The 17,717-nt window shown below is 34.1% G+C and overlaps 1 long non-coding RNA gene across 1 annotated transcript in view; it reads left to right on the top strand.

Moving 5' to 3' along the window:
• Positions 1 to 9,643, top strand: part of LINC01473 (long intergenic non-protein coding RNA 1473) — a 52,787-nt gene extending 43,144 nt beyond the window's left edge. Inside the window, exons 4-6 of the long non-coding RNA NR_110218.1 lie at positions 3,619 to 3,674; positions 4,739 to 4,843; positions 9,372 to 9,643. This is a non-coding gene — a long non-coding RNA (long intergenic non-protein coding RNA 1473). The remainder of the gene's footprint in view (positions 1 to 3,618; positions 3,675 to 4,738; positions 4,844 to 9,371) is intronic.
• The last annotated feature ends 8,074 nt before the right edge of the window (positions 9,644 to 17,717 follow it).

Genomic DNA, 17,717 nt, shown 5'->3' with positions numbered 1-17,717 from the left:
TGGAGCAGTATAGAAAGATTTAGAAAAATTTCCTCCTGGCATCTTAAAGAGTGAAAAAAAAAAAAAACATGATTAAGAGAGGAAAAACCAAAGATGTAGCCCAGGAACTCTTTGCTAAAGGGACTAACATGGATAGAAGGTTGCTGGGTGCTATTCCTCAAGACAATGAAAGTAAGACATCAAATGAATCTTGGAGATCTTTGAAGCTGCTCCTCCCATACTGGCCCAGAGGGCTAGGAAGGAAGATGATTTTAGGAGACAGGCCCAGGGCACTCTCTGTAGGCTCACTCCCCAGGGCTGCCTCGGGACTCTGGTCCCTGCACCCCCAGCACAGTGCTTTTCAGCTGTCCCAGCAATGGCACAAGCAGCCCCAGGTGTGGCTCATGTTGCAGTTTCAGAAGGTGCAGATCATAAATCTTAGCAGCATCCACGTGGTGCTAATTCCACAGTCTTGGAGAAAATAGTAGCTGTGGAGGCTTGGCAGCATCCACCCAGATTTCAAAGGATGATGTCAAAAGCCTGGAGGCCCAAACAGAGACTTGTCACAGGGAAGGAGCCAACGGAGCCCCTATTAGAGCAGGACAAGTGGAAATGTGGGGTTGCAGCTGCTGCAGATAGTTCCCAGCAGGGCTTTGCTTAGTAGATTTATAGATGCATGGCCACAACAGTGAGTCCCCACTAGGGCAATGCCTAGTGGAGTCGTGGGAACAAGGCTGCCCTGGGGACCCCAGAACTGTGTAGTCCCTGGTAGCATGCTATGCCTACATGGGAAATCTTCAGGCACTGGATTCCACCCTGCACGAGCAGCCACCTGGTCTGTACCCACCAAAGCAGTAAGGGTGGGGCTACCTGAGGCCTCAGGGGTCCAACCCCTATTCCAGTGTGTCTAATAGGTGGCACATGGAGTACAAAATAATTATTCTTCAGCTTTATGACTAATATCTGCCTTGCTGGGTTTCAGATTTGTTTGGGGCCTGTTACCCCTTTCTTTTGGAGTGGGAATATCTGTCTTATGCCTGTACCACCATTTTATCTTGAAAGGAGATAATATTTTGTGATTGCACAGTCTCACAGATGAGACTCTGGACTTTGAACTTTTGAATTCATTCTGAACAAGTTAATACTTTAAGCTTATTGGGTTAGAATTAATGATTTGTATGTGAGAAAGACATGAGTTTTGGGGGGCCAGGGGTAAAATGCTCTAGTTTGAATATTCGTCCCTTCCAGAAGTCATGTTGAAATTTAGTCTCCCATGTGACAGTATTAAGAAGTGAGGCCTTTAACAGGTGATTGGGTTATGAGGGCCCTGCCCTCATGAATGGATTAATCTACTTGTGGTTTCATGTATTGGTGGATTAATGGGTTAATGGATCCATGGGTTATGGAGTGGGACTGGTGGCCTTATAGGAAGAGGAAGAGAGACCTGAGCTAGCACACTCAGCTCCCTTGCCATGTGATGCCTTGCATCATCCCAGGACTCTGCAGAGTCTTCCTACTAGCAAGGCCCTCAGCTGTTGCAGCTTCTTGATCTTGGACTTCTCAGCCTCTATACTGTAAGAAATGAATTATTTTTTTTCATAAAATACCAGTTTCAGATATTCTGCTATAAGCAACAGAAAAGGCACTAAGACAGTTTTGAACCATGGAGGCAGAGGCAGTACTTTAGCAGCAAGGTGGTACATGATAGATGCTGCATAATACATCCTCCTGTTCTCTCCCATTGTATGTTCCCCTGCACGCTGAATGTACACCTTTAATATTATTTGTTTCCATTGTTACAATATTTTTCATATTGTACTTTCTTCAATCTATTGTAAGCTTTATGAAAACATGCCTTCTCTTATTCACTGCTGTCCCCAGTACTCAGGGTGCCAGAACCTTGGCAATGAATTTCATGGCTAAAAAAATATCAGAAAGCCAGAGATTGAAAGCCTCTACGTGAATGTAATTATGAATACAGCTGTTATAAAGATTCATATGCAGGTATTTGGGTAGACATAGTTTTCGTGTCATTGGGGTAAATACCTAAGAACACAAGCAACAGATTATATGGTAAATTTACGTTCAGCTTTGTGGCTATAGGATTTCGCACTCCCACTATCAATAAATTAAAGCTCCTATTGCTCCACATCCTTACTAACAGGCAATCTGATTGCACAGCTGTCCTGCTTAGTCACCTTGCTACACAGTATAGCAGAATAAAATGCCTGTTGGCAAATTTGTCTAAAATGCTCCTGGCTAAAAATCTTGTTTTGATTATATCAATTTTTTAGTAAACTTTAAAGTTTTAAAAGAACTCTATTTTAATATAAAAATTAAAGTTAATAAAAAGATAATTATGCATTTGAGAGAGTATCAAGATTAATAAAATTTCTTTAGTAAATAGCGAGCAAGAATTAAAGAAGCTGCTGGAGAGCATATTAAGGGTGAACTACAACTTGAAATAATTTATCAGTAGAGATATACCAGGAAGAGCCTCCACATAAATGTTGTATTAGTAGTACTGATTATTTTAACAACAATAAGTGTCTGATAAGGAATGACACAGGATTTTGGACTGTGCCAGTGGAAGGGTCTCTTTCAGATAAATTATCACTCCAGTGTCAACTGTCTTCTCTAATGAAAATAAATTTGTTAAAAGATACAAAATAAGGGATAGATAGGAGTAATAAGTTCTAGTGTTCTATAGCAGTGGGATGACTATAGTGAACAATAATATATGTTTTCAAATAGCTACAAGGGAGATATTGAATGTTTCCAACACAAAGAAATAATAAATATTTGAGATGATAAATATGCTGATTACCCTGATTTGCTCACTATATATTACATGCCTTGAAACATCACTATTTACCCGTACATATATACAATGATTATATATAAAGTAAAAAAGAAAAAGCTATTTTTAAAAGTTTTATAAGATTATATACATTTTTAAAAAGATTATATAGAATATTTTATTAGATTTTATAAGAATAAAAGATTATATGTATAATCTTTTTAAAAAGGACACATACCACATATGTATTCTAAATATATATACAGAGAAGGTATTCAAGAAAATCTAATAAATATTATTCGAAGAATATATTCACATTTTTTGAAACAAGTCAAATTTAAAGATGATGCCATTATATATCTTTATAACAGTTCTAAATGTTTATGTTTTGAATAATATACTTCAAAATATCTCCTTGTGGTTTTAGTCTGCTTTTTTCTGATGACTGGTGATGTTGAACATATTATCATGTGTTTATTGGTTATTCATATATCTTATTTTGTGAAATATTTCTTCAAAAATGTTTACCATTTTATTGGGTTGTCTTATTAAATTATAAATGTTCTTTATAAATTGGTTACAAACCCTTTATCGGATATATGTTTCGCAAAAGCATATCTAGTCTGTGGCTTTAAAAAATGCTTTGCATCTCAAAGAATACTTTTAATTGGATAGAGAAACAACAAAGAAAAATTTTATAGAGAAATAACTAAGTATCTAGTTTATTTGTCATTGTAGCATGCACATACATTTTTAGAATAAACATATAGTTGAGTTATTTAAAACTTAAAACCAATCCTTAGCATTATTTTGTAATTATTTTACCTGTTTTTATGTAGGAGAAAAAGAAGTGTTCTATAAGAAGTTTGGACAAGACTCTGCAAGAAGTTAAGAGGTACTCATATCATCCTTCATTATGCTTAAGGGGTATGCCATTCAAAGAAAAATTGTAGAATATCAGACTTTAAGAAAGTAAAATAGAATTTAGAACCCTGTAAAAAGTAAGCATTCTGGTGCTGTAAAGATAAATTTATAAGCATACAGATATATTTGTGAAGTTTGTATATAATAATTTAAAATTCTTTTACAACTTTAATGGTTTGTATATAGGGATTTTGAAAAATATGTGTGTATATACTTTGAAAATTGTGTAATTTAAAAGTGCAAAGTAAAATATGACTGTTTTATGAGACCACTATTAGTGCCAGTAGTGTAGTCTTTGATATAATCAATTGTAGTAGTAATTTAAAAAATAAAGATGAATTCCCTTTAACATTTGAGCTATGTTAAGGATTCAGAAATGCTTTTCTTTGCTTTTAATTTAACAGCTTTATTGAAGGAAAATTGATATGCAAAACATTGTGCATGTTTAAAGCATACAATTTCATAAGCTTGGCTTATGTACACAGCAGTAAAACCATAACAATAATCAAAATAATGACTATTCCAAAAGTTTTGTAGGGTCAATCTGTTATCCCTGTCTCCATTAAACTACAGATCTGATTTGTCGTAATAGTCTTGTTAGCATTTTTCTGAAATTTTGTATCACTAAAATCATACACAATGTGTTCTTTTATTTTCCGGCATTTTTCACTCAGCAAAGTTATTTTGAGATTCATCTATATTATGTATATTAGTGGTTCATTCTTTCTTCAATGGCTTAGAATTCCCTTTGATGAAGAGGAAGTTTACATTTTGAAGTTGAGGCTTTCCAAGCATTCATTTCTCTATGGGATATACACAGAAATTAAATTATAAAATGTAAGTTCTTATGTGTTGTTATGTAGGGCATAGAAGTTGGTAATAAATATAAAATTTTACCTTTTTAATACTTTACAAGCTGTTATCACTTTATATATGGCTGTTAAAGTATGCATACATTTTATTATAAATAATTTATACAGTATTTCTATGAGCTAAAATTAATCTATCAAGTCTAGTTAACACTCATTTGCTTAGCAGGTCCTTAAAGGCAACTGTGAATTAACGGAGACTAGTTTTGAGAAAATCAGTCCTGATTTGTTTCTCCTGGAGTTTTCTTCTTTATGTGATCCTTCATAAAAGGTTAGTTTTTATAGTATGTACGAAATACATGGAAAGACAGGTAGGAAGCCCAAATTGTTCTAGTCTACTATGTCAGTCTCTTGTTCTGAACCACTTCTTTTTTTTGTTTGTTTTTTTTTTTTTTTTGGTCCTCAGTGTCTCTAGGATGGCTGGTCACTTTTCTAGCATCAGTCCATACTATAGAAACTGAATATGTGGGACTCTGGTCAGCTTCAGGCAAACACACATCCACATTCAGCACTTCCTGCCTTCTGCGGGTTGGGATTAATTTTTGAACCAAGATTGCTGGAGCAGGGAGATAAAAATATACAGAATCATAATGGTACTGCTTCCAGTAAAAATCTCAAATATTGTAAATATTAACATGGAATTAAATGACAGAAAAATGAAAGGAACAAAATATGAATTTTTTTCTTAGTAGGCATTTCTTAAAATCACTGTCATGAAAATTATTAATTACAGTAGTTTACAAATCAGCATGTAAGGTAAAATAGAAATACTCTTACATTTATACAAAAATGTGAAAACTTTTCAAATTATCTCCTGTTTATTCAATAATAAATTTATGAAGCAAAAAATGTGTGCAAATATATCTATATATACACACAAACACACATACTTGTGCATATATACGTATATATTAATAAAATATATTAATAAAATGTTTAGGTTATTTGAAACTTCTACCCAAAAGCTGAAGCACTCTTGAGTTTGGGAAGTTAGGATTCTGCTGCTGTCCTTTTTGTTGATTTGGTTCTTATCTCAGATGTCTTAACAGAATGACAGATTTAGGGAGTTGATTTTGTTTCACATATTAAAGATGAAGAAATCCCAGAAACTCAGAAATTTCTACTATTAGTTTTATTGCTTTTAGATAGATAGGGAGTATAAGAAGTTAGATATCCTTAGTTAATCTTAGAGAATTAAATCTATTGGAGTAAAACCATTTGGAAAGGATTTTTTATCTCCAGCTTTGGACCTTTGTTCTGCAATAACTGCAGCCATTTAAAGTAAATTGCCCATTAAAGTACCACTCAGGCTTTTGACAAATTGCATCAAACTGTTTTCTTCCTTTGGGGAAACACAAACCTGAGAACGGTGGCTTTATTTTTTCTGCTTGACATATAGGTTGCTTGAACCAGCAGGCTAAAATGCTTTTAGGTGCTCTATAAGACAACCCAAAGAGGTTATATATGGTCTAGTAGAGCCCAAGTGAAGATACTGAATACAATCAGCTTATCTTGTGTGATGACAAATAATTGGTCATGCTCTCATATCATTTATCATTTTGAAAAGAGTTCTCACTTTAAACCATGTTATAGAAGAGGACTGTAATGGAACTGACAAAGACTATAAATTCTATGTTTGTTTAAAAAGTTATTGAACCATATGAAAATAATTCAAATGTCTGGCAACATACAGATTTAAAGCACCGCAGTTGTTAGCAGTTACTATCTTACTTTTCAGTTGATGAAAGTTCAAGTTGCTAGTAATAATAGAGGTAAAAAAAATCAATTTTGATGAAAATACTTTTCAAAATCAAATTAGCAATAATCAAATATTCAAAGATAAGTATACATCTATAGTTTAGATGTTAACAGAATAAAATATTTTATTTTTTAACTTAGATTATTTTAGCTATATGAAAACCATATTTGAATTGTTATTAGTAGTAAATAGCTGTTATTCTATCTTCCCAGTGTATACTAGGAAAAAAAAAATAAACACAGCCTCCTTTTCTAACAGAAAGCTATTCACTTTAGCCTTGATTATTGATAGATTGTGGTCATGTTATTTACTAGTAGTAAAAAATGCTTTAGGTCATCAACAAAAAATTCTGATTTACAAATATGAGTAGATGAACATTAAACTAAAAATAACTTTTAAATTGCTTAAATGCTTTGATTTTAGAAAGCATTTTATGATCTATAACATTTGGCAGAGAGTATAAAATGTATTATTTCATACTGAATCAATAGTCTGGAAAGTTCTGGGTAGTGTCACTTTCCTTAACTTTCATAACTTTGATGCTTCTGAATAAACAGGCCTGTTATTTTATAGACTATTCCTGAATTTGAGTTTGTCTGATATTTCGTATTGATTAAATTCTAGTTATGCACATTTGGAAGGAATATCACAGAAGTGAGGCTATGTTTCTATGAGCAAGCATATGATTTTGATTTGTCACATTATTATGATCTTAGTTTTGATTATGTTAAAGGCATATCTGTCAGAATTCACTGTAAAACTAACTATTCATTTTACATTTGTAATAAATAAGAATTTTGTGGAGAGATACTTTGAGACTGTGTAAACATTCTATTCTTTACTAAACTTTTAATATATTCATTTATTTGTTTAGATCAGTAAATTTATTTATTATAATGCCAACATTGTTCCCTATTTGGCCAAAGGAACACTTGTCAAGCAAGCTTTTCTGTCTTTTTGATATATCTCCATCATTCTTCAAGTGCTTTATTATTTTTCTGGCACAATAATATTTTCCAGACCTACTTCCTACTTTCTCTGCCCCAGTCAGCTATTTCTCCAAGGAGGTCCAATTACTTTAGTAAAGAGTTATATTAAATCAAAATCTGGTAGTGAAGAATTATATTAAATCAAAATCTGGTAGATAGATGCACTTATTTCTCTGCGCCATGTGGGCAAATGCATCATGTGTCTAGCACATACAAGTGTTACATGTAAATTATTTTTACCCTTCGAGTAGTAAATAGTTGACCACACTAATAAATTTTTGTTTGCAGTCATGTATCACTTAACAATAGGGATATGCTCTAAGAAATGTCGTTAGGCAATTTTGTTAGTGTGAACATCACAGAGTGTGCTTACACAAAACTAGATGGTGTAGCCTACTACACACCTAGACTATAGGGTATAGTCTTGCTCCTAAGCTACAAACCTGTACAGCATATTGCTGTACTAAATACTGCAGGCCATTTTAACACAATTGTATTTGTGTATCTAAACATAGAAAAGGTACAGAAAAATATGGTATTATAGTCTTATGACACCATTGTATATGCAGTTCATTGTTGACCAAAACATCATTATGTGTGCATGATTGTATTGTGAAAGTTGTCAGAATCAAAATGGAGTAACTTGTGAAAAAAAAAAAAACTTGACAAATAGAGTTAGAGAAAACCATAAGATGTGTAAATGCCTGATAACAAAAACTATGACAAAAGACTGCAAAAACTATAACCTTGCCCAAAGGCCATTAAAACATTACACTAAAAGTCCGTCTGTGAGGATATTTACCTGGCAATTGCCTGTTAAACCTCAGAATTGTGTCACCCTTATTATTGGTCCTTGTAGTAAAGGGTAATTATCTCAAAACAATTTTGTAATTCTCCTCATTTTTTCCTTTAAAAATGTTTGTTTTCCTTTACTTCCCTGAGTACTCACATAGTTTACTATGGCATGCATGTTCCCCTTTGCAATGCCCTATTCCCGAACAAATGTCATTTTCTTTTAGAGAGCCTCTCTCTGTTTGTTATTTAGGTTGAGAGTGTGCATGCATTTATAGGTTTTAAAGGACTGAAAAAATAGATCAATCCTGGCTGAAGTACAGGACATATCGTCTCAATTTTGTTCTCAATTTTGGCTCCATATTTTATGTACCTGAGGGAGCTTAAGAAAGTGAATGTCTCAGTCTACCCCCAGAGATTTTGATTTAGTTGGTTTGGGGGATGGTCTGGGCATTAAGACTTTATGGAAACTTCCCAGGTGATTCTAATGTGCAGCCAAGGTTGAGAGTTTGAGAACAGTTCTAGTAATACGCCACTATTTCATGTATGTTCATGGAGTCTCCTAATATGAGTAAGATTTCACCAGGACCTCTATTTCCTGGCTCATTTAGGCAGCTTCTGATTCAAAAAGTTCACAAGGGCTATGGGCAAAGAAGACATTTCTAGAAAATGAATTATTTTACATTAGTTAGCTACCTTGGAGAAATTATGAGTTTAAACTCTTTTTTTTTGCTCCATTGGCTTAAGTGGAGTTTGAAAGCAAGTCGTGGCCTCTTTGGACGCCTTTTCCCTCGGTTCATACCACCACTTTGGCTTTGTGGACATTGCCACTATGAACATGAAGGATGTGTGGAAAAAGCAAGTTAGCAAGGGTTCTTTTTTCCCCAAAACCTTATAGTAGAGCTGACCTTTAAAACATTTTCTCTGAGGTTCTGTGAGCAACCATCCTTGTCAGGATTAGTTCAAAGTTTCCCAATTTCATATACTTGACAGAATTATCTGGTAATTATATAATAATAACAACAACAACATAAAGCAGATCCTTCACCTCACCCCAGCTAGTCTCAGAAACACAACTGGTCAGCATAAGATTAAAGGGGCTGAGGAGAGCACCCATAGTAAAGCTTGCTAATGCAGCAGCCTTTCGAGATGCACCATGATACCTCAGCAATGACGTCTTAATAAGTTTTATAAATTTATTGAGTCTAATGAATTTTTGTTAGCTCTGCTAACTCTCTCTCACTTTGCTCCTTTTGCAGCTGCTAATATGGGAAAGATTGAAATCAGCAAGTTTCTGGCTGTAAGCTAAAAGAGGCTCTTGAATCATATTTCCGCCTGCTTAGCAAATTTCTCTTGCGACAATTGGATGTTATTTGGGGTTCCATACTAGCAGGAAGAAGTACAAGCAAAGCTAAGTCATTTTGAGAATAAATATTATCTCTCTATATATTTGTAAATGTTATTTTCTTTTTTTTTGAGGTTTATGATTGATCCTTGGCATGTGTCCCCTTGTGTATTGCTCTACTAAAAATAGCCTAAAAAAGAATTTTCCCCTCGATGTGGAGCTTCTCTTTAGTTACAATTCTACTTTCTCCTTCACTTGAGTATCAGTCTTCAGAGAACTACCATAACAAAGGAGTGGATACAGATATACGCAAAAAAGTCTATGAGAAAATTAGTACATTAAATTTGTGAAAGCTCATTTAAAGTAATTTTCTACTAACAATTTTAATCAAATGTATTAATCATATTTCTATGCTTAGTGATGTTAAATAAAAATTTAAAAGGTGGCAATCAATAAACAGAGATAAAAGCTTCTCAAGAATAAATGAAAGGAAGTAATAAAAAGACTCACTAAGCTGAATTGCCTCCTATCAACAGCAGCTGATAAAATATTAAAAGATTTGCCTTGTGTAATGTCTCTGGAGAGCTGTCTTACTGATGTACGAGGCCATGATTGACAACTTTGAGACTTTGCTGGAAGCGACAAAAGTATATCTATAATATTATGCTGAATTGCATAGGTCTTTCTTCTTAAATGAGGCTAGAAATAACATACCACCAAGTGTTTGGCTTTTAGGAAATTGAGCATTTTCTTTAGTTCTAGCTGCAGTTTAATTTCCTCAGAATTAGACATTATGCGGTATCTGGAACGTTAAAAAAAAAAAAAAGCAAAAACAGAGTATTGTACCTAATGATATGTCAAATAATTTTGGAGGAATTAAGAAATCACTGGAAGAAATTACATGGGTGGGTAATGGTTTTTATGTCACAATAAATAATTAGTAATATTTACTGACACATTTCATGTGCCTGGTACTGAGCTAAATGATTTATGTGCATTGTTTGTATTAAGCCCCCAAAATTCTGTGGTATATGTAATGATATTTCCATTTTTCTTGAGATAAGGAACTGAAACTCAGAAAAGTTAAGGAACTTGTCCAAGATTATAGTAAGTGGCTTAGTTCAATTTTGAATCTAGATCAATCTGACTCCAACCAGCATGATGAACTGAAACTGACTATGAGGCTGGTGACACTCTAGGCATTTATTCACAAGAGGTATTGTGATGACATGTGAGAGAATGTTGGATGAAGGAAGCACATACTAGAAAGATAGGAAAGACCAGAAAACACAGGGAAGTGCTATTTATTTGCTTTCCTAGTTCCAGTAACTTGGTCTAATGGGGAGGATGAAAGTAGACAGATACCTGAAAACACTTTGAGATTTATGTATAAGCAGCATGACTTCAGTGACCAAGCCACACAGAATCTGGGAGTGGAACATTTTCTTTGGTCATTATGCCACTGCGGCATGGTTTGTTAGTGCAGTGAGAACTAAAGTATAGTGTGGTAACCTGAAACTGTTATGGTTATGGGTACACCTGGGTGGGTAGCTGTTCACCCCTTCACAGAGGGTAGGAGTGGTGATAGCAAAGTAGCTCTTCGCAGTAACTTTCAGAACATAGACATTATGTAAGATCTGAAGTTTGAAAACCTGAAACAAAAGCAGAGCATTATATCCAAGCACATTGGAGACAACTGTGGAGGAATCAAGGAACATCTAGCAGAGATTTAATGTTTTAGGGACTGTTTTTTATTTCAGAAGGTAATAAGTGTAAAACAGTCAAACTCTAGGCATAGGGATGAACATTATTTTGTGTCATAAATTTGTCTAATATAGTTGCTGCTTCAGCATCCAGTTTTGGCTTGTCATGGTCAAGGTGACCAGTCATGCCCTGTCACCTTTGGTTTTATTAAAATTTTCCCTCCTTTAGTGGTTATTTGTGATATAGCCCTGTTGTTCCCCATCTCACTGACCCCAAATTCAACACATGCCACAGCTGCTGGCCACAGTGAAAACTAATGATCAACACCAGTCATGTGAATAAGACGTCCCTTCATGTGTTTTCTTTAAGCTAGCCTATCCACAGCCCCATGGGAAAGCCTAAAGAATAGTACCTGTGGATTATAATAAAGACGTCTTACTGGTTCTTGCTCTCTATCCCTCTCTCTACACACTGGTCAAGTACACTCTTGTCTCCAGACTTCCCATTGGCCTCCTGTCAACACCTGTACCCACTCTGGACCTGGGAATAATAAACTTCTTTTTTTTTTTAATGTATTTTGGTTTCACTTCCTCATTGTATCTCACCTGACACACACATACTATAGTGTTCTCAATATTATTTAATGTGTTTAACAAATCATAACAGATAATATATGATTGACACTGTGCCTCCTGATTTGATGCAATATGGACTATTCCACATCACTGATGAAGTAGTCATACAAAAAATATTTATCTTGAATCAAAGCAAGATTTTATACCAAAATTCTAGTTCAAGTTACCTGATAGAGGAACATATTAAACAATACTATGTGTAAACAATACTATGTGTAAACAATCAGAAAAATAATAGATTGTAGCCTTCAAAAAACGATGGCCTTACAAAACAAATAAACAAAAAGTTTGTGTGGGTGTGTACATGCAAGGGCTAATCTCAAATGCAGAAAGACCAGAATACAATAACAAATATAATTCTTGAAAGTGGATTTCATCTTGGTTTACCAAAAATAGCTATGAGGGAAATTTGGGTAAGAATTAGAGAATTCTGAATATAGAATGAATTAAAACATATTATGAATTAAGTTAATATTTTTGATGTTTTCTTTTGATATGTTCTTTTAGAATATGTAATATCCCTATTTATTGGAGATGTGTGCTAAATTATTTACAAATATTTGGGTATCTGAAATTTACTTTCAAATGCACCAAAAATAATAGCTATACAAAAAGAAATACATTAAATTTACTCTATAGTAGTAGTTATTCTTTCTGAGAGGTTTACACAGTATTTTCCTGTTCTTTTGTATGTATGTATTTTTAAAAGAACGTAGGCCTGGCGCAGTGGCTCACGCCTATAATCCCAGCACTTTGGGAGGCCGAGGTGGGCGGATCACGTGGTCAGGAGATCGAGACCATCCTGGCTAACACGGTAAAACCCCGTCTCTACTAAAAACACAAAAACAAAATTAGCCAGGCGTGGTGGCGGGCGCCTGTAGTCCCAGCTAATCAGGAGGCTGAGGCAGGAGAATGGCGTGAACCCGGGAGGCGAAGCTTGCAGTGAGCCGAGATCATGCCACTGCACTCCAGCCTGGGCGACAGAGCGAGACTCCGTCTCAAAAAAAACAAAAACGAAAACAAAAACAACATAAATAAATTGATAATATATCTATTTTGATACAGTCATGGTTAACATAAATAATCCTGGTTATATCCATATAAAACCATGAATATACAGTAATAAATATTATAATTACAAGTAAATCACCATAAATAAATTCTGTTTTCAATGTTTCTACTCCCAGTTTTTAAATTTGTTTTGAAGTAATTGTACATTTTTATGGTATTCAGGTATACATACTATACTTTATTGTCAATTATATATTGTGGAAACAAGTTTATTCTTTCAGAATAAGGTTATTCAGCCCTGAGAAAATTGATTTATATTATTTCTTATTTTTTGCTATAAATAATTTTATATTTAAATTTAATGTTTACAATTTACATTAGTATGCATATTAGTTGAAGTATTCCATTAAATGTCTCATGGATTGTTTTTAATTTAATGTCACATTTTAAAATGTTATATAAATACATACTTAAATATTCAGAAATATTACTCAAGTGTGAAACCCAGAATCATCACTATAAACATATAAAATGCATTTTGATACATCAGAATAAAAATGGAAAATAAATATAATTTCTGTTGAGCTTTTGAGGAGAAACAAATTTACTTAGTAAAAATAATAGGAAAAGATGTAGCAAAGAATGATAAATAATATTACAAGCAAAATAATTTGACTAGATGTGATGGAAAATACAGCAATAAAAATAATTTCACAAAGATTAAAGAAAAGATTTCTTAAGACTATAACAAAAATAAGCTTACTAAGTCCCAGTTTTGGTCAAAGGCCAATTTGTAATTTTTATGCATGGCTACAACATATTAGCTAGCAAGGATCACAGAAATTGCAAGGTATCTCTCCACATTGGTTATGAATATCCTTTATTGGTTTTCTCTAGTTCCAGGTGATGAAAAATCCTAAGTATCACTGAGGGTTTGCTGTAATTTAATGACTAGCCTTGATTTATATATTTACATCCAAATAGTTTTAACCATGATGATATAAATAGTAATCTAAATACATAACCCTTTATCTACCAAAGTTGTATAAACAATTACTGATTTTGTCTTTTATTATCCTTTTGAAATTGTTCCCTTTCCCCTTTTGCTTCCCTTTATTACATATCTGCAGACAAAAAGCAATACTTGTCATGTGGTCAAAAACAGATGAAAAATATAAAGCCCCTCCTACCTTTTTTTTCTAAATTGTTAGTGGCTAAAGAACAGGCACAGTGTTGTTAGTAAATTTTCTAAATGTTATTTCCTTATATGTGCGGTTTCCTGATGCTTACACCTTTTCTTCATCTTACATTGTCAAACGGCCCCTAGTACAGTGCCCTGTCCTCCAAGACGTCAGATAAATGTCTCACTAACTAAATATGTTGTATGTATTCAACTTCATGGAATTAAGTTATTAGTCATTTTTCTTAATTTTTAAATCTAGAATTATTTGGTATAATCATATATCATTGTTCATTAATTATCTCTTTATGAGAAAAATCTGATATGGTGAAATAATGAAGTGTTATGCATCATGCAAAGAAAAGGGCACACTCTTCAGAATCTGCAGGTTTCAACAATAGGTTCATTGAGAGTCAATACAAAAGGAATTAGCTTTCCAAATTTTACAAAACCAATTTATATAAAGACTTCAAGCCTCTTAGGAACAAGAGAAAAAGAAAGATCAAATCTATTGGAACCAGTGTTGATGAACTTACTATGATGCCTATATTTTTAAAAAGCAGAAAACATCTACTGATAATTCGACTTGGAAAATAATTTTTTTAATCAGCATTTTAAGGTCTCACTTTCTGTATCAATTTTAAATGATGATTTTGACTTATTTACCCAAAGTATTACATGATCGGACTTCCTCTTTATGATTTGAAATTGTAGTTCTCTGTCTGTAGAGTTTATTTTTAAAATATCTCTGTGCAACTTGCTTTTTAAAACAACAGTACATTCTTTAGGGCAGTTTTAGGTTCACAGCAAAACTGAACAGAAAGTACAAAAGATCCTGTATACCCATTAACCTCAGACATGCACAGCTCCCCTCCCTCACTATCAATATCCTGCGCCAGAGTGGTACATTTGTTGCAATCAATGAACCTATATTGACACATTATTATTACCCAAAGACCATAGTTTAAGGTTCACTCCTTGGTGTTGTCCTTCCTGTGGATTTTGATGAATGTGTAATGACATGTATTATAGTATCCTACAGAGTAGTTTCACTACCCTAAAAATCCTCTAAACTCTGCCTACTCACTTCTCCTTCCCTTGACCCCTGGCAACCATTGATCTTTTTACCTTGTCCCTAGCATCTTTATCAGACTGTCTTGTGCAGTATGTATGAAAGAGGCCCTTTTCAGATAGGCCTCTTTCACTTAATAATACGTCATTAAGATTTCTCCCTGTATTTTTTATGGCTAAATTGTTCTTTTCTTGGTAGTGATGAATAATGTTCAGTTGTCTGGATGTACCCCCATTTAACTATACATTCAACTATTGAAAGACATAGTATGACCCCATACTTAATGTAAATATAACCTGATTCCCTTTGCCAAGAATTGTATTTTGAATAGGCATATGACACTTCTCTGAACAAGATATGAGGTGATGTGCAATGACTGGTTTCCAAGCATTATTTCCTAACTCTTAGTAAGGGACATAAAGGAATATATAGAACTGTCTTATTTTCTGTATGCTGTCTAATCTACTTGGGGATGTGGAAGCTTTTCTATGGCCATGAAGAAAACTAGCAGAGAAAACACTGTGAGAGTGGCTAAGGAGAACAATAGAAAAAACATGGATTTTTGAAATCTTTAACAAAATCTTGAGTTGCTGGTATCATATTTCACTATGCAGAGTATCAGATCTTTCTTATTGCCAACGAGTTGAGTTAGAATTCTAGCTTCTGGCTGCCCAATCACAATATATGTATTTACATTGAAACATTTAGAAAAGATAGGCACTAATCTAATTTAAAATAAATTTTAAGTTTAGTTGTTATATTAATATTCATATTAATTAACTCAATAATTTTTAATAAAAACTAGTCATATTCTGAGACAATTATTTAAAGTGTAATCTGAATCAATTTCTAATATAAGACTAGGCTAAGTGCCGGATCTTTGGTTCTCTTTGTAATTGTTTTTTTCTTGTATTACTTGTGTTCTTTTTTTAATTAAAAATGTATTTTCATTTTATTTAAATATTTTTACCTGCCTGAAGAGAGATCCTGAGGGTACATATGTATAGTTTTTAAGAACATCTTTTGGGCCTACTTTCAGAGACAATTAAGATTTTGGAAGACCCTTGGAAGTTTGAGGATTTTTCTGTCTTCAGATGCATTTTGAAGGCTTAGTACTGACTTGTGGTTAATATATGCTTGGAACTGACTATATTTTTTTGCTCATTGCCACTCCAAAGCTATCATAGTCTATAGTCAATCTGTTTTATACCTAGAGACTTTTACATTCCCAGAATAAACTTATTTTAATGTTATCATTATCATTGAATAGCTCCCACAAAATGACTTACAGACTAAATTTTTGTCCCAGGAACTCTTCTATGCCAATTTATATTACCTCAAATCCTCTAAAATAGCCATCTCTTTTTTTTAAATTAATTTATTATTATTATACCTTAAGTTTTAGGGTACATGTGCACAATGTGCAAGTTAGTTACATATGTATATATGTGCCATGCTGGTGCGCTGCACCCACTAACTCGTCATCTAGCATTAGGTATATCTCCCAATGCTATCCCTCCCCCCTCCCCCCACCCCACAACAGTCCCCTGATTGTGATGTTCCCCTTCCTGTGTCCATGTGTTCTCATTGTTCAATTCCCACCTGTGAGTGAGAATATGCGGTGTTTGGTTTCTTGTTCTTGCGATAGTTTACTGAGAATGATGATTTCCAATTTCATCCATGTCCCTACAAAGGACATGAACTCATCATTTTTTATGGCTGCATAGTATTCCATGGTGTATATGTGCCACATTTTCTTAATCCAGTCTATCATTGTTGGACATTTGGGTTGGTTCCAAGTCTTTGCTATTGTGAATAATGCCACAATAAACATACGTGTGCATGTGTCTTTATAGCAGCGTGATTTATAGTCCTTTGGGTATATGCCCAGTAATGGGATGGCTGGGTCAAATGGTATTTCTAGTTCTAGATCCCTGAGGAATCGCCACACTGACTTTCACAATGGTTGAACTAGTTTACATTCCCACCAACAGTGTAAAAGTGTTCCTATTTCTCCACATCCTCTCCAGCACCTGTTGTTTCCTGACTTTTGAATGATTGCCATTCTAACTGGTGTGAGATGGTGTCTCATTGTGGTTTTGATTTGCATTTCTCTGATGGCCAGCGATGGTGAGCATTTTTTCATGTGTTTTTTGGCTGCATAAATGTCTTCTTTTGAGAAATGTCTGTTCATGTTCTTCGCCCACTTTTTGATGGGGTTGTTTTTTTCTTATAAATTTGTTTGAGTTCATTGTAGATTCTGGATATTAGCCCTTTGTCAGATGAGTAGGTTGTGAAAATTTTCTCCCATTCTGTAGGTTGCCTGTTGACTCTGATGGTAGTTTCTTTTGCTGTGCAGAAGCTCTTTAGTTTAATGAGATCCCATTTGTCAATTTTGGCTTTTGTTGCCATTGCTTTTGGTGTTTTAGACATGAAGTCCTTGCCCATGCCTATGTCCTGAATGGTAATGCCCAGGTTTTCTTCTAGGGTTTTTATGGTTTTAGGTCTAACATTTAAGTCTTTAATCCATCTTGAATTGATTTTTGTATAAGGTGTAAGGAAGGGATCCAGTTTCAGCTTTCTACATATGGCTAGCCAGTTTTCCCAGCACCATTTATTAAACAGGGAATCCTTTCCCCAATGCTTGTTTTTCTCAGG

The sequence above is a fragment of the Homo sapiens genome, chromosome 2 (assembly GCF_000001405.40).
Source record: "Homo sapiens chromosome 2, GRCh38.p14 Primary Assembly".
Taxonomy (NCBI): domain Eukaryota; kingdom Metazoa; phylum Chordata; class Mammalia; order Primates; family Hominidae; genus Homo; species Homo sapiens.
This window is presented reverse-complemented; position numbering and strand designations above follow the sequence as displayed.